Source organism: Homo sapiens, chromosome 12 (assembly GCF_000001405.40).
Source record: "Homo sapiens chromosome 12, GRCh38.p14 Primary Assembly".
Taxonomy (NCBI): Eukaryota; Metazoa; Chordata; class Mammalia; order Primates; family Hominidae; genus Homo; species Homo sapiens.
The window spans coordinates 52,905,586-52,927,601 of NC_000012.12; the positions used below are offsets into that span (position 1 = coordinate 52,905,586).

The following is a 22,016-nucleotide window of genomic DNA, read 5'->3' on the forward strand; positions in this document are numbered from 1 at the left end:
TGAAATCAACCATTTGCCTCATCTTTCCAGGTTACTGTTCTACCCCTAGCACCTGGTGCAGTGCCAAGAGGGTCTGGGTAGATATTTGTGGAATGAATGAATGAATAAATAAATGAGTGAATAAACATCACACGCGCACACACACACACACACACACACATACACATACACACACAGTGGCTGTCGTCCCTCTACATCTGAAGGTGCAAGATAAAAAGAGATCCAAGGCCAGGCACGGTGGCTCACGCCTGTAATCCCAGCACTTTGGGAGGCTGAGGTAGGCGGATCACGAGGTCAGGAGTTCAAGACAAGCCTGACCAACATGGTGAAACCCCATCTCTACTAAAAATACAAAAATTAGCTGGCCATGGTGTAATCCCAGCTACTCAGGAGGCTGAGGCAGGAGAATCACTTGAACCCGGGAGGCAGAGGTTGCAGTGAGCTGAGATCGTGCCACTGCACTCCAGCCTGGGCGACAGAGCGAGATTCCATCTCAAAGAAAAAAAAGAGCGAGATCCAACACAGCACTTTTCCTGAACATAACCCAGGGGCTTCCTCTCCTTCCAAGATCCTAGGATCCCCTGGGCCAGGTGAACACTGTAGGCCTCACTGAAGGGCCTAGAGAATGATGAACAGGGCTAGAAGGCAGAGAACGCAGGGGTTGGGGGGGGCAAGAGGAGATGGGAGCTATGTCAGGGACTTCATAGTTCTTGCTCTTTGCGGGAGTCACTCCCATTGCTCCCAGTGAGTGAATCATGGGAAGTGAGACAGGACGGCAGGGGGTACAGTGGAGTGGTGTGGCACTCGTGGTGCTACCTGGACCCTCCTGCTTTACCCAGGCTCCCAACGGGCCAGAGGAAATAGAGGAAGAGTCCCTGCACCTGTCTCCCATTATCAAAGTGAGTCAGGAGGGCAGGTTGGGACGTAGCACGCACCTGTGGGAGGTTGGAGATTGGGGAGCTGAGCAAGGCACCCCAGGCCTGGGTGGGGCCAGGCAGGGCATGCTGTGGGTGGAAGGCAGGAGGTTTAGGTCCCCAAGGCAGAGATTCCACCTGCAATTACCTGATGGCTGGGGCTGGGTTCTCTGGAAGATACTGCAGGGTGTGATGTGGGGACTGGATGAAACTGAACTCAGAGGACCAACAGATGACAGCCAGATCCCCTTGAGGAGAGGGACAGGTGACATAGCCCTGACCCAGGGAAGGGGGTGACCACCTACTGGGAGGACAGATGTACAGTTTCTTCCCCATCCTTCTCTAGGAGAGACACCCAGGCTCACAGAAAGACAGGCACATAGGACCCCTACCCAGAAGGACAGAGAGACCCAGAAGCCCCCTCCTTGGAGGACAGACAAACTTAAAAAGACAGACACACAGACAAGCTCTCTTCACAATGCACGCGTGCATACACACACACACACACACACACCCCACACATTGAAGTCCCTTCCAGAAAAATGCATAGATCCCAAGAGCGGGCACAGTGAGTGGCTCCTTCACCTCCCCTCCCCTCCCCAGGCCCTGCCTCCTGCTATGCTGAATGGAGCAAGGGAAATTCAGTTAGCACCTATTTACACCAGGCCTTCTCCCAGCTCCTTTAAACAATGCCTAATTTTCCCAAGAGTGATTGGAAGGCATGCTACCCCCTCCCCAACAAACACCCGCACCCACCAGGGCTGAGAAGCTTTTAACAGAAGACCAAAGGGAGAAGGACTGGGCCCAGTGCCAAACCTGGGACAGGGAAGGCGGAAGGAGGGAGGGAGGGGCTGGTCAGACGGGTATGGCAGCCCTGGAAAGGGAGGACAGGCGCTCTCCCTATCTTCCCTCCCCCACGCTGCTGTTAGAGGGAGCAGGGGGCACTCAGGTCCTGATCTAGGCAGCACAAGGAGCAAAAAAACAGCACCCCAAAGCCTTTCCTGAAATTCCAGTCCCCTCCACCCCACCTTTCTGGTTCCCTGGTTCTAGGAGTGTCCCTTGTTTAAGGTGAGGACAGAGGGGGTTGCCAGGGACCCTGCAGTATGCAGGCTGGAGGGCTGACCCAGACCTTACCCAGCCAGGGGAAGCCCTTTTTTTCTGGGGCAGCCCAGAACCGTCTAGGGCCAGAAGTGTTTGTGTCTCATTTGTCATCTCTCTATTGCCCAGAGACCCCAGCCAAACCTTCCCCCAGATGCCCCAAGCACAGCCTCGGTGCAGGAGAAGAGGCCAGAGTTGGCCTCTCTGATGGCCCCTGCCTGGGACTTCAGGGTTAAAGGCAGAAGGAGAAGGCCCCTGGGACTAGGGCCAAGTGGTGAGGGAAGAGAGAACCAGACTGGAGCAGGCCCACAGGTACAACTCCTTGTAAGGCATTGTGGTCTACACACAGCTGCCTGCCGGACAAAAGGGAACAACGTGTTTGCGGTGCCTGCCCTACCCAGACAACTCTGCCTCAAACCGCCTTTCCTGGAGAGTGAACCAGGGAAGGAGGAGACACTCACTCCCTGTGGGCCAAGAGTGAGGGCCAGGCCCCCTACTTCTGATGGTGCAGGATAATTCAGAGAAGGCCCTGAGACCCTGAGCAGTGGCATTAAGTCTTGGGGCCAGTGGGGTGGGGAGGTAGCTGTTATCATCACTCATGATCATGGGAAGAGATGGTCTGAACAAGTTTTTTTTTTTCTTTTTTGAGACGGAGTCTCGCTCTGTCACCCAGACTGGAGTGCAGTGGCGCAATCTCGGCTCACTGCAAGCTCCGCCTCCCGGGATCTGAACAAGTTTTGCTTAGAGATCAGGACTGATGATCTCATTCGCTGCAACCTTGTTCATAATAGCCAAAGAGTGGGAACAAAACAAATGTCCACCAAATGACGAATGGATTTCTTTAATGTGGCATATCCATACGATCTAATGTTACAATTAAAAGGAATGAACTACTGATGCATGTTGGATGCAGATGAGCCTTGAAACCCGTATGCTCAGTGAAAGGAGACAGTCATAGAAGATCAGGTACCCTATGATTCCATTTATATGACATGTGCACAACAGGCAAAGCATAGAGACAGGAAGTAGATTAGTGGTTGCCTAGGGAGGGGAGGAATGGAGATGAATGCTAAAGAGCACAGGGTTTCTTTCTGGGGTGATGAGAATGTTCTAAATTTGATGGTGGTGGGCAGGCACAATGGCTCTACCTATAATCCCAGCACTTTGGGAGGTCGAGGCAGGAGGATTACTTTAGCCCAGGAGTTTGAGACCAGCTGAGCAACATAATGAGACCCCCGTCTCTACAAAAAATACAAAAATTAGCCAGGTATGGCGGCACACGCCTGTAGTCCCAGCTGCCCTGGAGGCTGAGTTGTGAGGATCACCTGAGCCCCGAAAGTTGAGGCCGCATGCATTGAGCCAAGACTGTGCCACTGCACTCTAGCCTGCGTGGGAGACAGAGTGAAACTCTGTCTCAAAAATAAATAAATAAATAAACAAATTTGATGATGGTGAAGCTGCACAAGTCTGTGAACATACTAAAAATCACTGAACTGCAAGCTTCAGATTGTTGAATTATATTGTATGTGAATTACAGCTCAACAAAGTTGTAACAAAAAGATAACCACAAAAGCATAAATGAGCTACATATAAAAAGCAGGGGCTTTGTGCCCAGCATAAGGGGTCAGGGGAAAGAAGCAAAGAGTTTGTTTAGATGCCCCAGGTAAAGAGGCTTCCTGCCTCTGGGTTAAGGCAATGCCCGAAAAGCACCCGAAATCCCTTTAAATGATGGAGCATTTTGAAATGTTATTATTGGTATAGAAATAGCTGCATTTAGCATAGAGACAGCAGAACAATTTGTTTAAATAGGAAGCCACAGGTGGTGGGTACACCCCTCAGGAAGCAGCATCATGAATAATAGAGTCAATTCGATTGCTAATTTTGTGTTATGTGCCTCAAGGCTAAAATTTTTCATTGTCAAAGCTTAGCAAATGCTGACTTTTTTGCTCTTGATCAGTGATGGATCTGATGATTAAAGCCAGCCAGGATGGAAATGGACTGCCTAGAGAGGGAGCAACCTCCTGTACCTGGAGACATGGAGAGGGACCTTGCTCACCAGCTGTCCACTGGCTCAGTGGGAGGGGGTTCTCACATCTGCTAGGGTTTGAATTAGAATGTCCAAGTCCCGCCAACTCTGAAAGCTTTTGATCCACATCCACCACCATAGAGCTTTACGCACTGAAGATGAAAATCTGTGAATGTTCTCTGGTTTGAAATTTTGCTTGTGATAAGAGATATGATTAGAAATTATTAGAACAAGAGTGAGGGAGGACAGCACAGCCTTGTTGTGGAGGAAGGAGACACAAGCCCAGCAGCCTGAAGATGTTGAGGTCTCCCACACTTTTTTTTCTTTTTTTTAGAGACAGGATCTCACTATGTTGCCCAGCCTGACTCGAACTCCTGGATGCAAGCAATCCTTCTGCCTCAGCCTCCCAAAGTACTAGGGTTACAGCGTGAGCCACTGCACACAGCCTTTCTCACATTTTCAACATTCTCTCACCCTCCTCTCCACTGATGCCAAACCAAGAAGGTCATCCCACTGGGTGAGCATGAAGCCTAGGCGGAAGGTCCCAGCTATGGCTCAGTCCACAGAGTCCTTCCCCTTAACTCTGGTTCTCCATCACATCAAGATCGCCCGTGGGAGATTATAACAGTATACGTGCTCAGGTCGCACCCCGTCTGCATTTTCAAAGCTTCCTCGGTACAGCCAGAGTCAGGCACCAGGCTTTAGCTCTGGTCCCAACACCAAGACCTTTAGGAACACACTTTCTTCCTCTTCCCAGAGGAAATAGGCCAGAGCTCAAATCCACAGCACTGCAGGTTCCTGCTTAGAAAGGGTGATATACTCTGTCCCTCAGGAAGGAAAACAGAGTGGTTCAGTCCCCAGAACCTGAAACTCCACCACCGTTGGCCAGGGCCACAGAGACAGAGACAGAGACTGCGAGAGGACAGACACAAATGGGTCCCACTCCTGACAGTGAAGACAGCGGTACTGGGGACTTGAGTGACAGGAAGTGGAAGTTATTGAGAGGATTTCAAGGAAACTTCAGAAGCTGACATTGCGATAGGGGAAGCCCTCATGGTGTTCAGGCAACCGGACAGGAGTGCAGGAAAAGAACAAACAGGAAGGACCTGGGGCTCCGCTATAGGCATCCTGCCCACCCCCACCCCAGCCCTGAGGATTCCCCTGGCCTGAGCTGCTTAGCACTGGAGCTGATATCCAGAGGCCCACTGTTTTGATTTTCCTGCTGGGCAACCTGAGGACTAAGGTGGGAGTTGGGGACAGGGACTAGAGGCCTTTATTCCTTCCTGTATTCACCTTTTCATTTATCCACATATTTGCTTATCAGGCAGTAGTCTAAAAAATTTCAGGAGATGAAGTATTTGGGTCCTCTCAAACCAAAGGAGGTAGGAGTCTCCTTTGACCAAGGCAAGGTATTTCCTGAAAGTCCCTGTTGAGAAGTGACCATCAGGCCAGACGTGGTGGCTCACACCTGTAATCCCAGCACTTTGGGAGGCCGAGGCGGGCTGATCACCTGAGGTCAGCAGTTCAAGACCAGCCTGGCCAACATGGTGAAACCCCATTTCTACTAAAAATACAGAAATTAGCCGGGCGTGGTAGTGGGCACCTGTAATCCCAGCTACTTGGGAGACTGAGGCAGAAGAATCGCTTGAACCCAGGAGGCGGAGGTTGCAGTGAGCTGAGATTGCACCATTGCACTCCAGCCTGGGTGACAGAGTGAGACTCCGTCTCAAAAAAAAAAGAAAAGTGGCCATCAGTAATCCTTCATCATTAAATCAGCATATTGATGGCTGACTATATACTGGGCACATGCTGGGAAGACACTGAGGGAATCAAGTCCCTAATGGCCTTTACTGTACATCAGGGGGAGACAGACAGACATATAGTCACTTATTCCAATACTGTAACAATAACACATACAGTGCAAAAAAAATGCCTTACAAATATTAATTCATTTAACCTTCGTAAGAACACTATAAAGTAGGTGCCATAATCTCTATTTTTACCAGATGAGGCACAGAGATGTTAAGAAACATACCCAAGGTCATGCAGCAGTGTGGCTCTTTTTCCATGCTCCTAACCACTATACACACTTCCAGTATAACGATGGAGAACAAGAAAAGTGGTATGGGCCGGGCGTGGTGGCTCATGCCTGTAATCCCAGCACTTTGGGTGGGTGGATCACTTGAGGTCAGGAGTTCCAGAACAGCCTGGCCAACATGGTGAAACCCCATCTCTACCAAAAAACAAACAAAAAAATTAGCCAAGTATGGTGGCACATGCCTGTAGTCTCAGCTACTCGGGAGGCTGAGGTAGGAGAATTGCTTGACTCTGGGAGGTGGAGGTTGCAGTGAGCTGAGATCGTGCCACTGCACTCCAGTCTGGGTGACAGAGTGAGACACTGTCTCAAAACAAAAAAAGGAAAGAAAAGTATTTGTGTTTTTAAAAAGTGGTCTGGCAGTTTAACAACCAAGAGACTGTCCTCAGAGCAGCAACCAGGCACCTACCACAGGGCAAGGTCTGAGGGAAAGGGACTGAGGGCGGGCACATTTTGATGGAAAGAGGAGCAGAGTCACAGCATTGGGCCCAAAGGTCCCCCAAGAAGGCAGGAGGACTCCTGCAGTGGGGAAGGCAGCAGAGGGGAGATTCCTTACTGCAGCGTTGCTTGAAATCAGTCTTACCTCTGATGAAAATTTCTGAGTCTCTGTTTTGCAACCCACTCCTCCCAGCCCCAGCCTCTTGGAAAAGTCCCCTTTACAAAGAGAGCCCTTCATGGTTTAGAAAACACCCCTCAGTCATCCCTTTAAAAACCCACAACTCTTGGGGTTGGACAGAACTGTTGAATGTCCTGACACCCTGGAACTTGACAAAGCATCCCAGGTAGAAGCCACACTTGCATGCCCTAGCACAGATGCCCACCCTAGGCCTGGCCCCTTTCTTGCTTTCCCAATCCACGGGACCAGTGACACTTCCATGCCTGATACAGAAGACAAAGTTGCATAGGACTGGTGAAAAGACGTGGGCAGGGGATGGTCCTCTGCAGTCGCCTGGCCTCCATGTCTCATCCCACCTGACACAGAGAGGCAGCCACAGTTTAGGCTATTCCCAGCCTTTTCCATGGCCATGGCCTCCATGAAATGATAATTCGTGTGTGGCAGGCTGGGGCAAATGAAAGGGTCTGCTGAAGAGCAGGTGTGGTCAGGCCAGGGGCTGTGGACACTCAGAGAGCTGATGGCCTAATATGTCTCACAGTCATAGCCACTTAGCACAGGCAGCGTGACCAGGTACACAGGCAGCGTGACCAGGTACCCTGGCTGGGAAGCGCTTGCTTGCAGAAAGCAACCTGGTTTTGTGAAATGAGGAGCTAAGGGAGGAGCAGGAAGGAATGGGGAGCCAAAAGATAGTTAAAGGCCTGCCTGCCTTGGGTTGAGGCTTGGGATCAAGGGCACTCATCAGACCTGGAAGCCATAAACATCCAGGTATCAGAGGAGGCTCAGCCGAGGTTAATCACCCACCATAAAAGCAACCACAGCCCATGGAGAGCAGAGTCAGGTGGCAGGGCTCCTCAAAAGTGAGCCGCCCCAAGGCCAGCCCTGCCCACCCCATCCCCACCTGCTGGAGTGGAAGGAAGCAATGACTCCAACCTTGGTGAAATCTGGCCATGCCCCAACACACCTGTCAGTTTCCTCCTCTGATATTGCAGGGTGGCCCTAACCTGATTCTGGTATTCCCCGCTTCACCACCACCGTCAACAAAAGTTTTATGATTCTATGTACCTTTCAAGGACTCTAAAGAATCTGGCTTCAGACTGAAAACAATGAGAATTTTCAGGAGGGCAGAGGTGCATGATGATAAGCAGGTGTTTTTGAGCACGTGTCTTTATATGCATGTATCCATATAAATACAAAGCACACATGTTTGATGGGTTATCTCCCAGAACAAACAGCCTCACAGGCCCACCCCCCACCCTGTGGGCACACAACCTCAGCCTATAGCACACACGCCCTCTTGTCCCTCACACACTCTCTCAGGTTCACACACACCCCACCTGCCCTCTCACTTGCATGGCCTGACGCACACGCCAAGGTGCAGTACCACCTCACATCCTCATCTCAGGCACAAGCATGTGCGTGTACCACCCGTCAGAGTCCCGTGCACACCACCTTCCTACGAACGTCACACACATACCTGTGCACACACAGCCATATATAACACACATCCAAACTCAAATACACGGTTACAGGTTTGTTTGTTTTTTCTTTTATACAGACAGAGGTTTCACTATATTGCCCAGGCTGGTCTCAAAATCCTGGCCTCAGGCTGAGAGAGGTGGCTCATGCCTCTCTAATACTAGCACTTTAGGAGGCCAAGGCCAGCTGATTACCTGAAGTCAGGAGATCAAGACCAGCCTGACCAACATGGTGAAATCCCGTCTCTACTAATAATATAAAAATTAGCTGGGCATGGTGGCAGGCACCTGTAATCCCAGCTACTCGGGAGGCTGAGGCAGGAGAATCGCTTGAACCCAGGAGGCAAAGATTGCAGTGAGCCAAGACTGCCCTATTGCACTCCAGCCTGGGCGACAGAGCGAGACTCTGTCTCAAAAATAAAACAAACAAAACAAAAAAAAAATCCACCGGGTGCAGTGGCTCACGCCTGTAATCCCAGCACTTTGGGAGGCCGAGGCAGGCGGATCACCTGAGGTTGGGAGTTCGAGACCAGCCTGACCAACATGGAGAAACTGTCCTTACTAAAAATACCAAAAAATTAGCATAGTATGGTGGCGCATGCCTGTAACCCCAGCTACTCAGGAGGCTGAGGCAGGAGAATTGCTCGAAGCCAGGAGGTGGAGGTTGCAGCGAGCTGTGATCATACCATTGCACTCCAGCCTGGGCAACAACAGTGAAACTCCGTCTCAAAAACAAACAAAAAATCCTTGCCTCAAGCAATCCTCCCACCTTGGCCTCCCAAAGTGCTGTGACTCCCAAAGTTACAGGTGTGAGCCCCAGCTCCCAGCCAAAGGATACACATTCTTGATTGCAAGTGGCTGAAACCCAACTCAAACAGACTTAAGCATAAAAAGATCATTTCTTATAATTGAGAAGTTCAAGGGTGCATTTGGCTTTCAGCCTAGCCAGATAAGGGGCTCAGTGATATCATCAGGACCAAGACTCTCTTCCTGTCTTTTGGCTATTTTCCTCCATGTTAGCTTCGTCCTCGGGCAGGCCATCTCCCTGCTGCAGGAAGGGCGACCACTAAGGGAGCACCTCTTTCCCGATGCTTCCTGCTGAAGTTCCAGGGCTGACTCTCCAAGGCTGATATAGGTCACATGCTCATCTCTGAACCAATCCCTGTGGCCAGGGGAATAGAATACTATCATGTTGACTAGACTAGACCACATAACAAGACCCTGTGGAGGGGTGATCAGCCCCACCCAACCTATAGAGAAAGGGGAAAAAAAATGTGATTTGGGCCAGGCGCGGTGGCTCACGCCTGTAATCCCAGCTCTTTGGGAGGCAGAGGTGGGCGGATCATGAGGTCAGGAGATCGAGACCATCCTGGCTAACACAGTGAAACCCCGTCTCTACTAAAGATACAAAAAATTAGCCGGGCGAGGTGGCGGGCACCTGTAGTCCCAGCTACTCAGGAGGCTGAGGCAGGAGAATGGCGTGAACCCCAGGGGACGGAGCCTGCAGTGAGCCGAGATCTCGCCACTGCACTCCAGCTTGGGCAACAGAGCAAGACTCCATCTCAAAAAAAAAAAAAATGTGATTCACCAAAAGACCAGGAAGAAATGCTGGACAGGGCCAGGAACCATGCCTCACGCCTGTAATCCTAGCACTTCAGGAGGCTGAGGCGGGTGGATCACCTGAGGTCAGGAGGTCGAGACCAGCCTGGTCAACATGGTGAAACCCCATCTGTACTAAAAATACAAAAAAATCAGCCGAGCATGGTGGTGCATGCCTGTAGTCCCAGCTACTTGGGAGGCTGAGACAGGAGAATCGCTTGAACCCAGGAGGCAGAGGCTGCAGTGAGCCAAGATCCCACCACTGAACTCCAGCCCAGCCTGGGTAACAGAGCAAGACTCCGTCTCAAAAAAAAAAGAAGAGAAAAGAAAAGATAAACAAATGCTGGACAGGCAGAAACAACAGATGTTCACTACATATGCTAACCAAAATGTACACCAATAAAGACGTGGAACCAGAGAAGCCAGGTATAAAGATATCCGTGTACACACCGAGCCCTTCTATAAATACAAATACTACCTGGCCAAAGTCTACCTTCTGTACCTTATCAACGGAATATTGATTTCAGATAAATAAATGATTCAGATGTATGCTATAGGACTTCAGGGGAAGGAGAGAGCCCTTAGATCAAGCTGAGCTTAGGAAAGTAAGATATGGATGGAAAGATCTGGAAATGTGATAAGCCACTGGACAGGAGCGGGATTCCTATGGAAGAGTAGAAAAGCTAGATATTGGGGAGGAGGGTGGGACTAGGGGTTTCAGAGGCCAGACAGAGCTTTTTCTGCAGGCTGCAGGAAGGGAGGAGCAGGATGATGAGCTTAAAGCAGTGCTTTAGGAAAATTAAGCTGGCTGGGGTGTTCAGGATAGATGGTAGGGGCAAAAACTAGGGGCAGGAGACTAGAAAGGGGGCTACTGCAGAAAGCAGGTCTGGAGGCCTGCAGTGTGGTAGGAGCAGGAAGATAGGGATGGACTCAAGCTAGAACCAACAGGAGGTGGCAGTTGACTGCATGGGCGTGAGTCCAAGGTCACTCAGCTGCACTTCTAGCAGCTCCCTGCTGAACCCTAGCACCTTCTGTTCCAGCTAGACTGTTCCATGCACTTGCCATGAGCCACTGGGCTTACCATCGTGTCATCCAATCAGTTTTAGACACAGCTCCTTGGAGACAGAGCAGGTTCCTCCAGCGTCTGTGTCTGGTTCCTGTCTCAGTGCCAGCATCTGCCCAGCAGGGTACTGGCCCAGAGTAGATGCTCCAGAGTAAATGTATAGACCCTCCCCTGAACATGCAGTTTATACTTGCCTCCTTAGCTTGGTTCATCCCACACACACCCCTTCACTCTGGTAACAGCACGATGAGGCTGTCTCAAAACCCACCACAGTCCTCAGCAGCAGAAGCAAGTGTGGACAAGCCCGCCTTCTCGCATGCTGACCATGCTGGAGCAGGGTATGGCTTTTGTCTGACTCTTAGGACTGACTGATGCAAGGAGGTGCCTGGGATAGAGAGGAGAATGGGCACCATATTCCAGTGAGACATAGCGCAGGAGCTGGGAGTGCCAGCCCTGGAGAAGAGGTTCCCAATGTGTATAGAACCTCAGGACTGCCTGGAGGAATAGGGGACATTCATCGGTGTGACCCAAGGGATATAACCAGCACCAATAGGAAGGATTCCCCCAGAGAGAGACTTCTGCTCCCTGTAATCAAGGACTTCCCAAAAGTTGGAGCTTTGTGAAAAGAGAGTCTGCGGCCGGGCACACTGGCTCATGCCTGTAATCCCAGCACTTTGGGAGGCTGAGGTGGGTGGATCACTTGAGGTCAGGCTTTCAAGACCAGCCTGACCAACATGGTGAAATCCAGTCTCTGGTAAAAAAATATATATATACAAAATTAGCCGGGTGTGGTGGTGGTGCACACCTGTAATCCCAGCTACTTGGGAGGCTGAGGCAGGAGAATTGCTTGAACCCAGGAGGTGGAGGTTGCAGTGAGCCAAGATCACACCATCGCACTCCAACCTGGACAAGAGTGAAACTCCATCTCAAAAAAAAAAAAGAAAAAAAAGAAAAGACTGAGTGTGGTGGCTCACACCTGTAATCCCAGCACTCTGGGAGGCCGAGGGGGGCGGATCATCTGAGGTCAGGAGTTCAAGACCACCCTGGCCAATATGGTGAAACCCTGTCTCTACTAAAAATATAAAAAAGTAGCTGGGCATGGTGGCACATGCCTGTAATCCCAGCTACTTGGGAGGCTGAGGCAGGAGAATTGCTTGAACTCGGGAGGTGAAGTTTGCAGCGAGACAAGATTGTGCCATTGCACTCCAGCCTGGGTGATAGGGCGAGACTCTGTCTCAAAAAAAAAAAAAAAAAAAAATTCGCCAGGCGTTGTGGCAGGTGCCTGTAGTCCCAGCTATTCAGGAGGCTGAGGCAGGGAGAATTGCTTGAACCTGGGAGGCATAGGTTGCAGTGAGCTGAGATTGCGCCTCTGTACTCAGCCTGGATGACAAAGCAAGACTTCATCTCAAAAGAAGAAGAAGAAGGAGAAGGAGGAGAAGGAGAAAAAGAAGAAGGAGAAGGAGAAGAGGAAGAAGAGGAAGAGGAAGAAGAAGAAGAGGAAGAGGAAGAAGAAGAAGAAGGAGAGGAAGGAGAGGAAGAAGAAGGAGAAGAAGAAGAGGAGGAGGAGAAGAAGAAGAAGAGGAAGAAGAAGGAGAAGAAGAAGAGGAGGAGGAGGAGAAGAAGAAGAGGAAGAAGAAGAAGAAGAAGAGGAAGAAGAAGGAGGGGGAGAGGGAGAGGGAGAAGGGGAAGAAGAAGAAGAAGAGGAAGAGGAAGAAGAAGAAGAAGAAGAAGAACAAGAAGAAGAAGAAGAAGAAGAAGAAGAAGAAGAAGAAGAAGAAGAAGAAGAAACAAAACAGAGTCTGCGTCAACTGGGAAGTTCATGAGGAGGGTTCAGGCAGAAGGTCAAGGGGCCTCTACTGTATCAGCTGGGTTGTTGGAGCCTCAGAAACATGCAGGCCTACTGTATGCGCTGCATGCATCACCTCATTTAAATTCATAAAGATCCCACCAGGCCGAGATGGAAAAGTGCCTACATTCACACAGCTGTGAAGGGAAGAACTGGCATCTGAGCCCCGCCAGACAGACGCCGCGCAGGTGCAGCTGCCCCGAGCCTGCCCATGCATGTTCTGCTGCCCCAAAGCCATGTGTGACCAAAACCCAAAGGACAGAGGGTGCAACCAGAAGAATTTCGCAGCCACTTCCTAATGGTGTTAAGAGTTACTTCACCAGCTGAAAATGCAGATAGTAACAACTACCTCAGAAGACTGACATGATCATCAGGTAAGGAACAGTGCCTAAAATAGCAGGTTTTCAAGACATGTTAGCTTGACTCTCACCAACCCTCCCTGCTTGTCCCCCAGCCTTTCCCAAAGCCTTTCTCCACACAATTTCCCCCATTCCCTCACCACCTTCAGACCACCCTCCCCCATGGAACTTGTGTTCACATCACTTTGATACATTTGCCTTGTGAGAGTTTAAGCCTTGTGTTTCCCTGCATGAAATAACCTCCTTGCAGAACAGAACAGTGTCTGCTGCCTCTTCCCAGGGTAGGTGGTCAAGTGGAAGAAAGTGCTAGCTCAGCAGGGTGGAGGGTAACTAGGAGGTGGCAATTGGGTCTATAAGGAGGAGCTTATAGGATAGTAATAAAGAAATAGCATGTAAAAATCCGCCATTATGCAAAACAGAAGCTTGCAAATCCAATTCCTAGGGAGCTAGCCATGCAAACAGAGCCCTGCCTACTGACGCCCACTTGCTTTCCCCAACTCTCAACCCAGGGCTCCTTTCCCTGCCAATGATGGTGGCAGTGGTAGTGATTAGGATTGGGAACCATGGTGATCATGATGGGTTTCTTTTTTGTTTTTTTGTTTTTGAGACAGAGTCTCACTCTGTCACCCAGTCTGGAGTGCATGTAGTGGCACTACCTCAGCTCACTGCAACCTTCGCTTCCCGGGTTCAAGCAATTCTCCTGTCTCAGCCTCCCAAGTAGCTGGGACTACAGGCATGTACCACCACTCTCTGCTAAGTTTTTGTATTTTTAGTAGAGACAGGGTTTCACCATGTTGACCAGGCTGGTCCCAAACTGCTGGCCCCAAGTGATCTGCTCGCCTCAGCCTCCCAAAGTGCTGGGATTACAGGTGTGAGCCACCATGCCCAGCCATGGCTTTCATTTTCAGGGTTCCTACCAAGTGTCAAAGTGTCAGATCTCTTACATATATTATATATTATTTTATTTTATTTTAGTCTATTTTATTTTGAGATGGAGTCTTGCTCTGTTGCCCAGGCTGGAGTGCAGTGGCACGATCTTGACTCACTGCAACCTCCACCTCCTGGGTTCTCAAGCTATTCTCCTGCCTCAGCCTCCCAAGTAGCTGGGACTAAAGACCTGCACCACCATGCCCGGATAATTTTAGTATTTTTAGTGAGACAGGGTTTCACCATGTAGGCCAGGCTAGTCTTGAACTCCTGACCTCAGGGGATCTGCCTGCCTTGGCCTCCCAAGGTGCTGGGATTACAGGCGTGAGCCACCGCACCTATTATTTATAATCCTAAACTAATCCATGAGGAAGGTAACATTGTTCTCATTTTACAGACAAGGAAACTAAAGCCCAAGGTCCTTTGGTTAGTGTGACAGAGACAGGAATTGAACCCAAGTCTGGAGTAATTTTAGAGCTTGAACATTCTCTTTTCAATTATGCTGTTTTATAGTCAGGATCCAATTATGTCCATTAAGAGATGTAATAATGTCAATAACTCAAAAGGGAGGATTCAAAACATGTTTATTATTTTATTTAGCAATCCAAAAGAGCTATATTACATTTATTTATTGAGCATCTGTACTACCTCTCCTACAGTAGGGATTCTGGCAGACTTGGGGGACCTCTCCCCATCAAAATGGACAGCCCCAGCCCAGGCACGGTGGCTCACGCCTGTAATCCCAGCACTTTGGGAGGCCAAGGCAGGCAGATCACCTGAGGTCAAGAGTTTGAGACCAGCCTGACCAACATGGAGAAACCCCATCTCTACTAAAAATACAAAATTAGCCAGGCATGGTGGCACATGCCTGTAATCCCAGCTACTTAAGAGGCTGAGGCAGGCGAATTGATTGAACCCAGGGGGCAGAGGTTGGGGTGAGCTGAGATTGTGCCATTGCACTCCAGCCTGGGCAACAAGAGCGAAACTCCATCTGAAAAAAAATTAAAAATGGACAGCCCCATGAGGGCAGAGACCTTGACTATGTTGTTGACCGTCACATCCACAGCATTAGAAAGACATCTAACAGGCACTCCACCAGTATATGATGAACGAATTCACAAATGGCTGAACCAGCCTGCCAGGTAAGCCTGTGCCCAGCCAGGCACAGTGGCTCACACCTGTAATCCCAGTACTTTGGAAGGCCAAGGGAAGATCACTTGAGGCCAGGAGTTCAAGACCAGCCTGGACAACCAGCGACATAGCAAGACCCTGCATGTGTGCATATATGTCTGTAAGACAGAAAATGAGACAGAGAGACTCTAGAGAGCACGCAGCTCAGCTAAAGAAAAGACCTGCTACCCACCACTCTGTAACCAACCTGCCCCCACCCCATTCCCTGGTCTCTAAGGACTAAGATAACCCCAACTCAGATACAATGACCCATTCATAGGCCTTTAGGAAAATCTGTTGACCTGGATGGTGGGAATGGGCTAAGCCCAGGCCAGCCCAGGCCAGCTTAGCCTCAGGGACCTGTTAGTCAAGTTCCCATGGCAACACAACTAATTGTGTGTTTATGCATTCCCTACAGAACTCCAGGCAGAGGCCATCTATTCCCCAAGGCCACATTCTACCTTCTCTCTCCTTCCTTGCCTCCCCAAGTTTCCTGGGTGACCATCCAGGGAACATTAAGAGAAGCTTAAGTAGCAACAGCAGCCTCCAGAACATGGAAGGCAAAGGAGGGAAAGCCTCTCTGAGGGAGAGGACCAGTACTTCTTGCTCACAATTGTCCAGCTGCAAAAGTCAAACTCCCTAGTCCTCCTCCTGGACCCACAGTTCTATGGCTTCGATGGCTCCCACATGTCACCACACTAAACCTCCACCCCCAGGCCCCCATGGCCTGACCCTATCCTACTTGACTGCCAGCTCCTGCACAAACTCCCTCTTCACTTATGCAGTGCACAGGCCCAGGGCCCCTCCTTCCTCTCTCTTTGTGTCCCTCTAGCCTGGCTCTACCCCCAAGGACTTCCTTCAGGAAGCCCTCCCAGATGGACTATTCCTCCCAGGCTTCTCCCTCCAGCCCTCCAGCCTGGAGCCTCTGATTGTGCATCCCCAGCTGTGGCCGGATCTCCCAGAGCTGGGCATGGGTTCAGCTATTCCCCCATGGCCTAGCAGTTTCCTTAAGGTGGTAAAGCTTTTAATTCTTACAGAAACTATAAAATAAGCATTATCTGCATTCTAGAGTGGAGAACACTGAGCCTCAGGATTAAAAGCAATGTGCACTGCTTGGCACAGTGGCTCACACCTGTAATCCCAGCACTTTGGAAGGCCAAAGTGGGAGGATGGCTTGAGGCTAGGAATTCAAGACCAGCCTGGACAACACAGCAAGACCCTGTCTATACCCCTCTCCCCCACAAAAAAATTGTTCTAATTATCCAGGCAGAGTGGTGCACACCTGTATTTCCAGCTACTTGGGAGGCTAAGCAAGAGGATAACTGGAGCCCAAGAGTTTGAGGCTGTAGTGTACCATAATTGCACCTGTGAGTAACAATGGCACTGGGTGACAGAGTGAGACCCTGTCTCTAAAAAAAAAAAAAAAAAAAAAAAAAAAAAAAAAAAAATGTAGCAAATGGGAGAGCCAGAACTGGACCCCGTCTGCCTCCAAAGCCATGTCTCTCCTCCCCACCTTATACCTCCCTCTCTCCCTGAAGACAGTACCATATGGCAGGCACTCCCTGTACCATAGGTTTTTATAACTGCATTTATTCCTCACAATTAAATCTATGAGGAGGCCAGGCACGGTGGCTCACGCCTGTAATCCTAACACTTTAGGAGGCTGAGGTGGGTGGATTACTTGAGCTCAGAAGTTCAAGGCCAGCCTGGCCAACATGGCGAAACCCCGTCTCTACTGAAAATACAAAAATTAGCCAGGCGTGGTGGCACATGCCTGTAATTCCAGCTACTCGGGAGGCTGAGGCAGGAGAATCGCTTGAACCCAGGAGGCAGACTTTGCAGTGAGCTGAATTTGTGTCACTGCACTCCAGCCTTGGCGACAGAGCAAGACTCTGTCTCAAAATAAATAAATAAACAAACCTATAAGGAAAGTACAAATAACCTCATTTTACAGATGAGGAGATGAAAGTTCAGAAACTTTCCATCTACTTCCTAAGTCATGTAGCATCTAAGTGCTAGGATCAGAATTCCACCCAGCTCTTCTGGCTCCAAAACCCAAAGTTTAGCTTCCCAGTCCCCTGGATCTAGGCAGACAGTCTGGGAGATGCAGGAGGCAGGAAGGCAGATTCTGCAGCCAGCATGAGAGCTTGAACTGATCGGCCAACACCTCTGATAAAGGAAGGTGCCTTCCAGAAGACCTCCAGGAGCTTCCCCGCTGATCTGGGGAAGCTCAGGAAGCCCAGGACAGCTGAGTGAGGGTTCCGTAGCCAGGCTCCCAGCTCTCTGCCCTCCCACTCGTCCTGTGAACTGACCCTCCCTCACATCATTGCACTTCTGCAAATTCCTACCACTACCTCCAAAGTGCTCTAGGATGTGTGATTAAAATCAAAGCGTTCTAAGGTTTATGATGAAAATTAAATGAAATTAAGTTAAATTTTTGTTTTGAGAATTGTTTTAGACTATTCCTAGAAGAATGTGCAGTAGCAGGAAAACATAAGTTTGGAAATCAAATAGCCTGTGTTCTAGTCTCAACTCGGTCTCTAAATTGCTGTGTGACATTGGACAAGTTACTGCTCCTCTCTGAGCTACAGTTGCCTCATCTATATAATGAAGGGGCAGGACCATTTATTCCTAAATTGTTTTGTTTTGTTTTGTTTTGTTTTTGAGATGGAGTCTCGCTGTGTTGCCCAGGTTGGAGTACAGTGGCTTAATCTCAGCTCACTGCAAGCTCTGCCTCCTGGGTTCACGCCATTCTCCTGCCTCAGCCTCCCGAGTAGCTGGGACTACAGGCGCCAGCCACCACGCCTGGCTAATTTTTGTATTTTTAGTAGAGACGGGATTTCACCTTGTTAGCCAGGATGGTCTCAATCTCCTGACCTCGTGATCCGCCCGCCTCGGCCTCCCAAAATACTGGGATTACAGGCGTGAGCCACCACGCCCGGCTCTAAATTATTTTTATTACTAATTATTAATTTTTGAAATTATTAAAATTACCTGTATTATTACATTTAAATTAATATGGATTTTAGAGCTTTGAATTGCCTAAAGTGCTTGCAGTGTAGTGAGAAAAGCATTATATATTTTTTTTTTCGAGACGGAGCCTCGCTCTCGCCCAGGCTGGAGTGCAGTGGCATGATCACTGCTCGCTGCAACCTCCGCCTCCCGGGTTCAAGCGATTCTCCTGCCTCAGCCTCCCGAGTAGCTGGGATTACAGGCGCCCGCCACCACGCCTGGCTAATTTTCGTATTTTTTCAGTAGAGACGGGGTTTTACCATGTTGGCCAGGCTGGCCTCAAACTCCTGACCTCAGGTGATCCGCCTGCCTCAGCATGAGCCGAGTTGTGAGCCACCCACCACACCCGGCCAAAAGCATTATACTTAAAATCATACATTAGGCCAGGCGCAGTGGCTCATGCCTGTAATCCCGGCACTTTGGGAGGCTGAGGCAGACAGATCACAAGGTCAGGAAATCGAGACCATCCTGGCTAACACGGTGAAACCCTGTCTCTACTAAAAATACAAAAAAATTAGGCGGGCATGGTGGCGGGCGTCTGTAGTCCCAGCTACTAGGGAGGCTGAGGCAGGAGAATGGCATGAACCCGGGAGGCGGAGCTTGCAGTGAGCTGAGATTGCGCCACTGCACTCCAGCCTGGGCGACAGAGGGAGACTCCGTCTCAAAAAAAAAAAAAAAAATCATACTTGATTTGGGCTCTCAGCTTTTGTTCTCTCATATGTAAAATAAATTAGATTGAGGCTGCAGTGAACTATGACAGGCCACTGCATTCCAGCTTGGGCGACAGAGCCAGACCCTGTCTCAAAAAAATAAATAAAAATTTAAAAATAAAATAAATTATATGATGATAATGTTTGTAAAGATAATTGTAAAGATAATTGTAATTTGTAAAGATAATTGCTTGTATAGGACACTACTGTATAGGACACTACTGTGATGGGAAAAGACCATGCACTCTTCTCTAAGAATTCACCGTTCCTTCTGTCTTTTGCCTTCCTCCCCTCAGCTAAAGGGCTCCTGGAGTGAAGTGGACCCTCAGCTGTACTCTGTGGTCTGCGGCAACAGCCAACGCACAGAGGAGCATCCTCTCCTTAACTAAGCACCGAAAGGGAGTGAAAGGGTAGACTGAAGGAAGGACTTACTAATTCAAGGAGTCATTGGAGCAGAAATGAGTGACCAGGAATGGGGAGGATGCGTCTGTGGAAAAGGAACAGGGCTGGGCCCCCTTCTCACTGGTCCTAGATGGGATCAGGCCTGCCCAGAAGCCAAGAAAAAGATGTTGTATAGACCTCAATGGGGCAAGGCCGGGATGATTGAGGGGATACCTTCAGGGGAGGAGGTGCTAGGCAGTTTTCTGAAAATGGTGCGTTCAGACAGCTCACTATTTCCTGTAGTAATTCCAGGAAAAGACTGAGTAAGACAAGGTCAGGACCGGGAGGAATGCAGCTGGAGGAGGTGTGTATGCACAGTCTCCCCAGGGTGAGCCTGTCCAGAGCCATAAACCTTATCTCCTTCCTCTGAATAGCTGGGATAGCTATCTCTGGCTCCCAGGGGCTCAGGCTGAGTCAGGGCTGGAGGCTGGGAGAGACTGTGGGCCCCGAAGCATACCTAAAACTGTGAGACCACTCAGCACTTAGGTATGAATGGCGCCATTTAGGGTCTGAAATGGTCACCATTTTCAGAAACCTGCTCAACACCTCTTCCCCTGCAGGTATCCCCCTCCGTCATCCTGGCCTTGCCCCATTGATACCTGAAGTGTGGCACATTCAGGAATGAGATTGGAGCAAAAGGGATCTCTTTGGCGGAGGTGGGGTCAAAGAGATAGATTAGGATGATTCATCTCCACAAAGGCTAAGGCTTTAGATTCCTACCAGCCAGCCCCAGGCCAGAAATTTCCCCTTCAAGGAAAGTTGGGCTCCAGGGCTGGGCAATACTATCACCTCAATTATCCCTCTGTTCCTGAGTTCTAGGGTTTATGCACAGTTCTTAATGGGGCCTAATAGTTTCTTTGTCTCTTCCAGCCCTCTATCTTAGAGGACAGGAGGTGGAGCCTACCAACAAAGGGACCCAGGTTCCAGTTCCAGGGCTGCGTTTCTCTCCCCCTCAGGGCCCATTACTCTGAGCTGGGCCCCAGGTAGGGGAGGAAGGAGGAGAAAGGAGGCAGTGTTCTCATGTTCTCTGTGTCCCTGAGAAATTCCCCACCTCCCTTTCAAGCTCCCTCCTAGCAGGCTGGTGAGACCTGCCCTGGAGACAGGCTGGTGCGAGAGGCCCCCTCTGCAGAGTGGAAGGGGGTGACATAATTGCCTGTCCTGAGACTTCTAGACATGTACACACTGTCCCTCTGCCTGGTGTGTCCCTGCCCCCCGCCCCCCACCACCTCTCCTGCTCGCTCAGGTATCCTCTCCAGTGCCCAGCCAGACTGATCTTCTACAAACACTGCTTTGATCCTGTCACTCCCTAGCCCAGAGCTTCCCGTTGCCTTCAGAATAAAGGTCAAATTCCTCATCTGGTGGCTGAGGCTTAGCCTTCCCCACCTGGCACTAGCTGCCCTCCCCACCCCACCCCCAGGACTGTGCCCTCCTCTCCTGAAGCACCTCCTTGTCACCTGCACCTGTTGAAACCTTACCCTTCCTGCAGGTCCTGGCTCCAGCTCACCCCATTCATTCCGCAAACATTTGCTGAATGAAAATCATGCATCAGGCACCTCCCCACAAAGCCTGCCCCAGTCACCTCTGCCGGAAGTGGCCACTCCTATAGAGACCCCAAGAATAGGGCTTTGTTACACCCCTGGGCTGGGTTACACTTGCTGTGGGCATGTCTGAGCTCCCCTCCCTGATTGTAAACCTGATCCACAGTCATTTAGCATGCACTGAACATCCACTATTAATGAGGCATTTTCCATATTTGTCTCATTTGACCCTCACAAGGACCTTGGGAGTTCAGTCTTCTTATCCTTATTTACAGATGAGGAATCCAAGGCTCTAAGAAGTAATGTGCCCAGCAAGTAGTAGTCAGAGCTCAAACCGGAGTCCTGTACCCTAAGTCCAGGGCCCGCACATCAGCGCCAAGGCATCTTCCTCAAAAGTAGGGGCGTGTCTTATACATGTTTCTGCTTCCCTCCACACCCAGCACAGGAACTTGTTTGATTCACTGAATGAATGAATGAATGAATGAATGAATGAATGAATGATTCAATTCTATCCCATGAGTCCTCTTCTCTACTCTGACCCTATCTCCTCTCTCCCACATTGCTTTTTTCCTATCTTCTGTCCCTTACCCTGGACCCCAAGGATTCCCCCCAAGGGAGGAAAGAAGCTGTGATTGTTTCATGGATACCAGAGATGGGAGCTAAGCCTCAGAAGGGTGTCCACAGCCTGGACACACCCCAGGGAGGAGATTCAGGACAGGAAGACCCCTTCACCTTCACCACCACTCAGTTTGATAGACCCAGGAGAGTTCCAGTCCTTCTCTCCACCCCTCCCCAACTCCAGCAGGAAATAGGTGGGCCCAAGGGAGCAGCAGGACAAGCCAGAGAACAGTGAGAGGGTGAAGAGGGGCCCAGATTCAGTGACTCACCACCCTTGGGCCTCCCCTGGGGAAAGGGTGGGGAGCCTGGACACTTGGAATTCCTGCCTGTCCCTAGGGAGACACTTGGGTGTTAGGAGGCTGAACAGGAGGAGGAAGAGCTCTGTTTGTCCCAAACTAAGGGGTGGCCATGGCAACAAGGCCAGAGCCATCAGGGCTGGGAGCAAAGGTCCTGGCCAGGGGTGGAGTCGCGAGGGCCCTGCTGCCTGCCTGCCAACTGGGCCACTGTCC

General features: G+C 50.1%; 1 protein-coding gene across 3 annotated transcripts in view, besides 2 other annotated features; it reads right to left on the minus strand.

Moving 5' to 3' along the window:
- The window catches only part of KRT8 (keratin 8), a 52,670-nt gene that overhangs the window by 8,395 nt on the left and 22,259 nt on the right, over window positions 1-22,016 (minus strand). The window contains exon 1 of one of the 3 annotated variants that reach the window (NM_001256282.2): window positions 20,827-20,884. The exons of the other annotated variants lie outside the window; for them this stretch is intronic. Within the exon in view, the coding sequence (NP_001243211.1) occupies window positions 20,827-20,864 (38 nt within the window). The 5' untranslated portion in view covers window positions 20,865-20,884. Of the gene's footprint in view, window positions 1-20,826; window positions 20,885-22,016 lie in introns of those variants that run through there. 3 annotated transcript variants of the gene reach the window in all.
- Window positions 12,454-12,955: an enhancer, noted in NCBI's record as "H3K4me1 hESC enhancer chr12:53311823-53312324 (GRCh37/hg19 assembly coordinates)". NCBI's record gives its function as "activates a minimal SCP1, AML or CMV promoter by ChIP-STARR-seq in primed H9 embryonic stem cells {active_cell/tissue: H9 hESC(primed)}" and the evidence as "EXISTENCE:reporter gene assay evidence [ECO:0000049][PMID:30033119]".
- Window positions 12,956-13,455: an enhancer, noted in NCBI's record as "H3K4me1 hESC enhancer chr12:53312325-53312824 (GRCh37/hg19 assembly coordinates)". NCBI's record gives its function as "activates a minimal SCP1, AML or CMV promoter by ChIP-STARR-seq in primed H9 embryonic stem cells {active_cell/tissue: H9 hESC(primed)}" and the evidence as "EXISTENCE:reporter gene assay evidence [ECO:0000049][PMID:30033119]".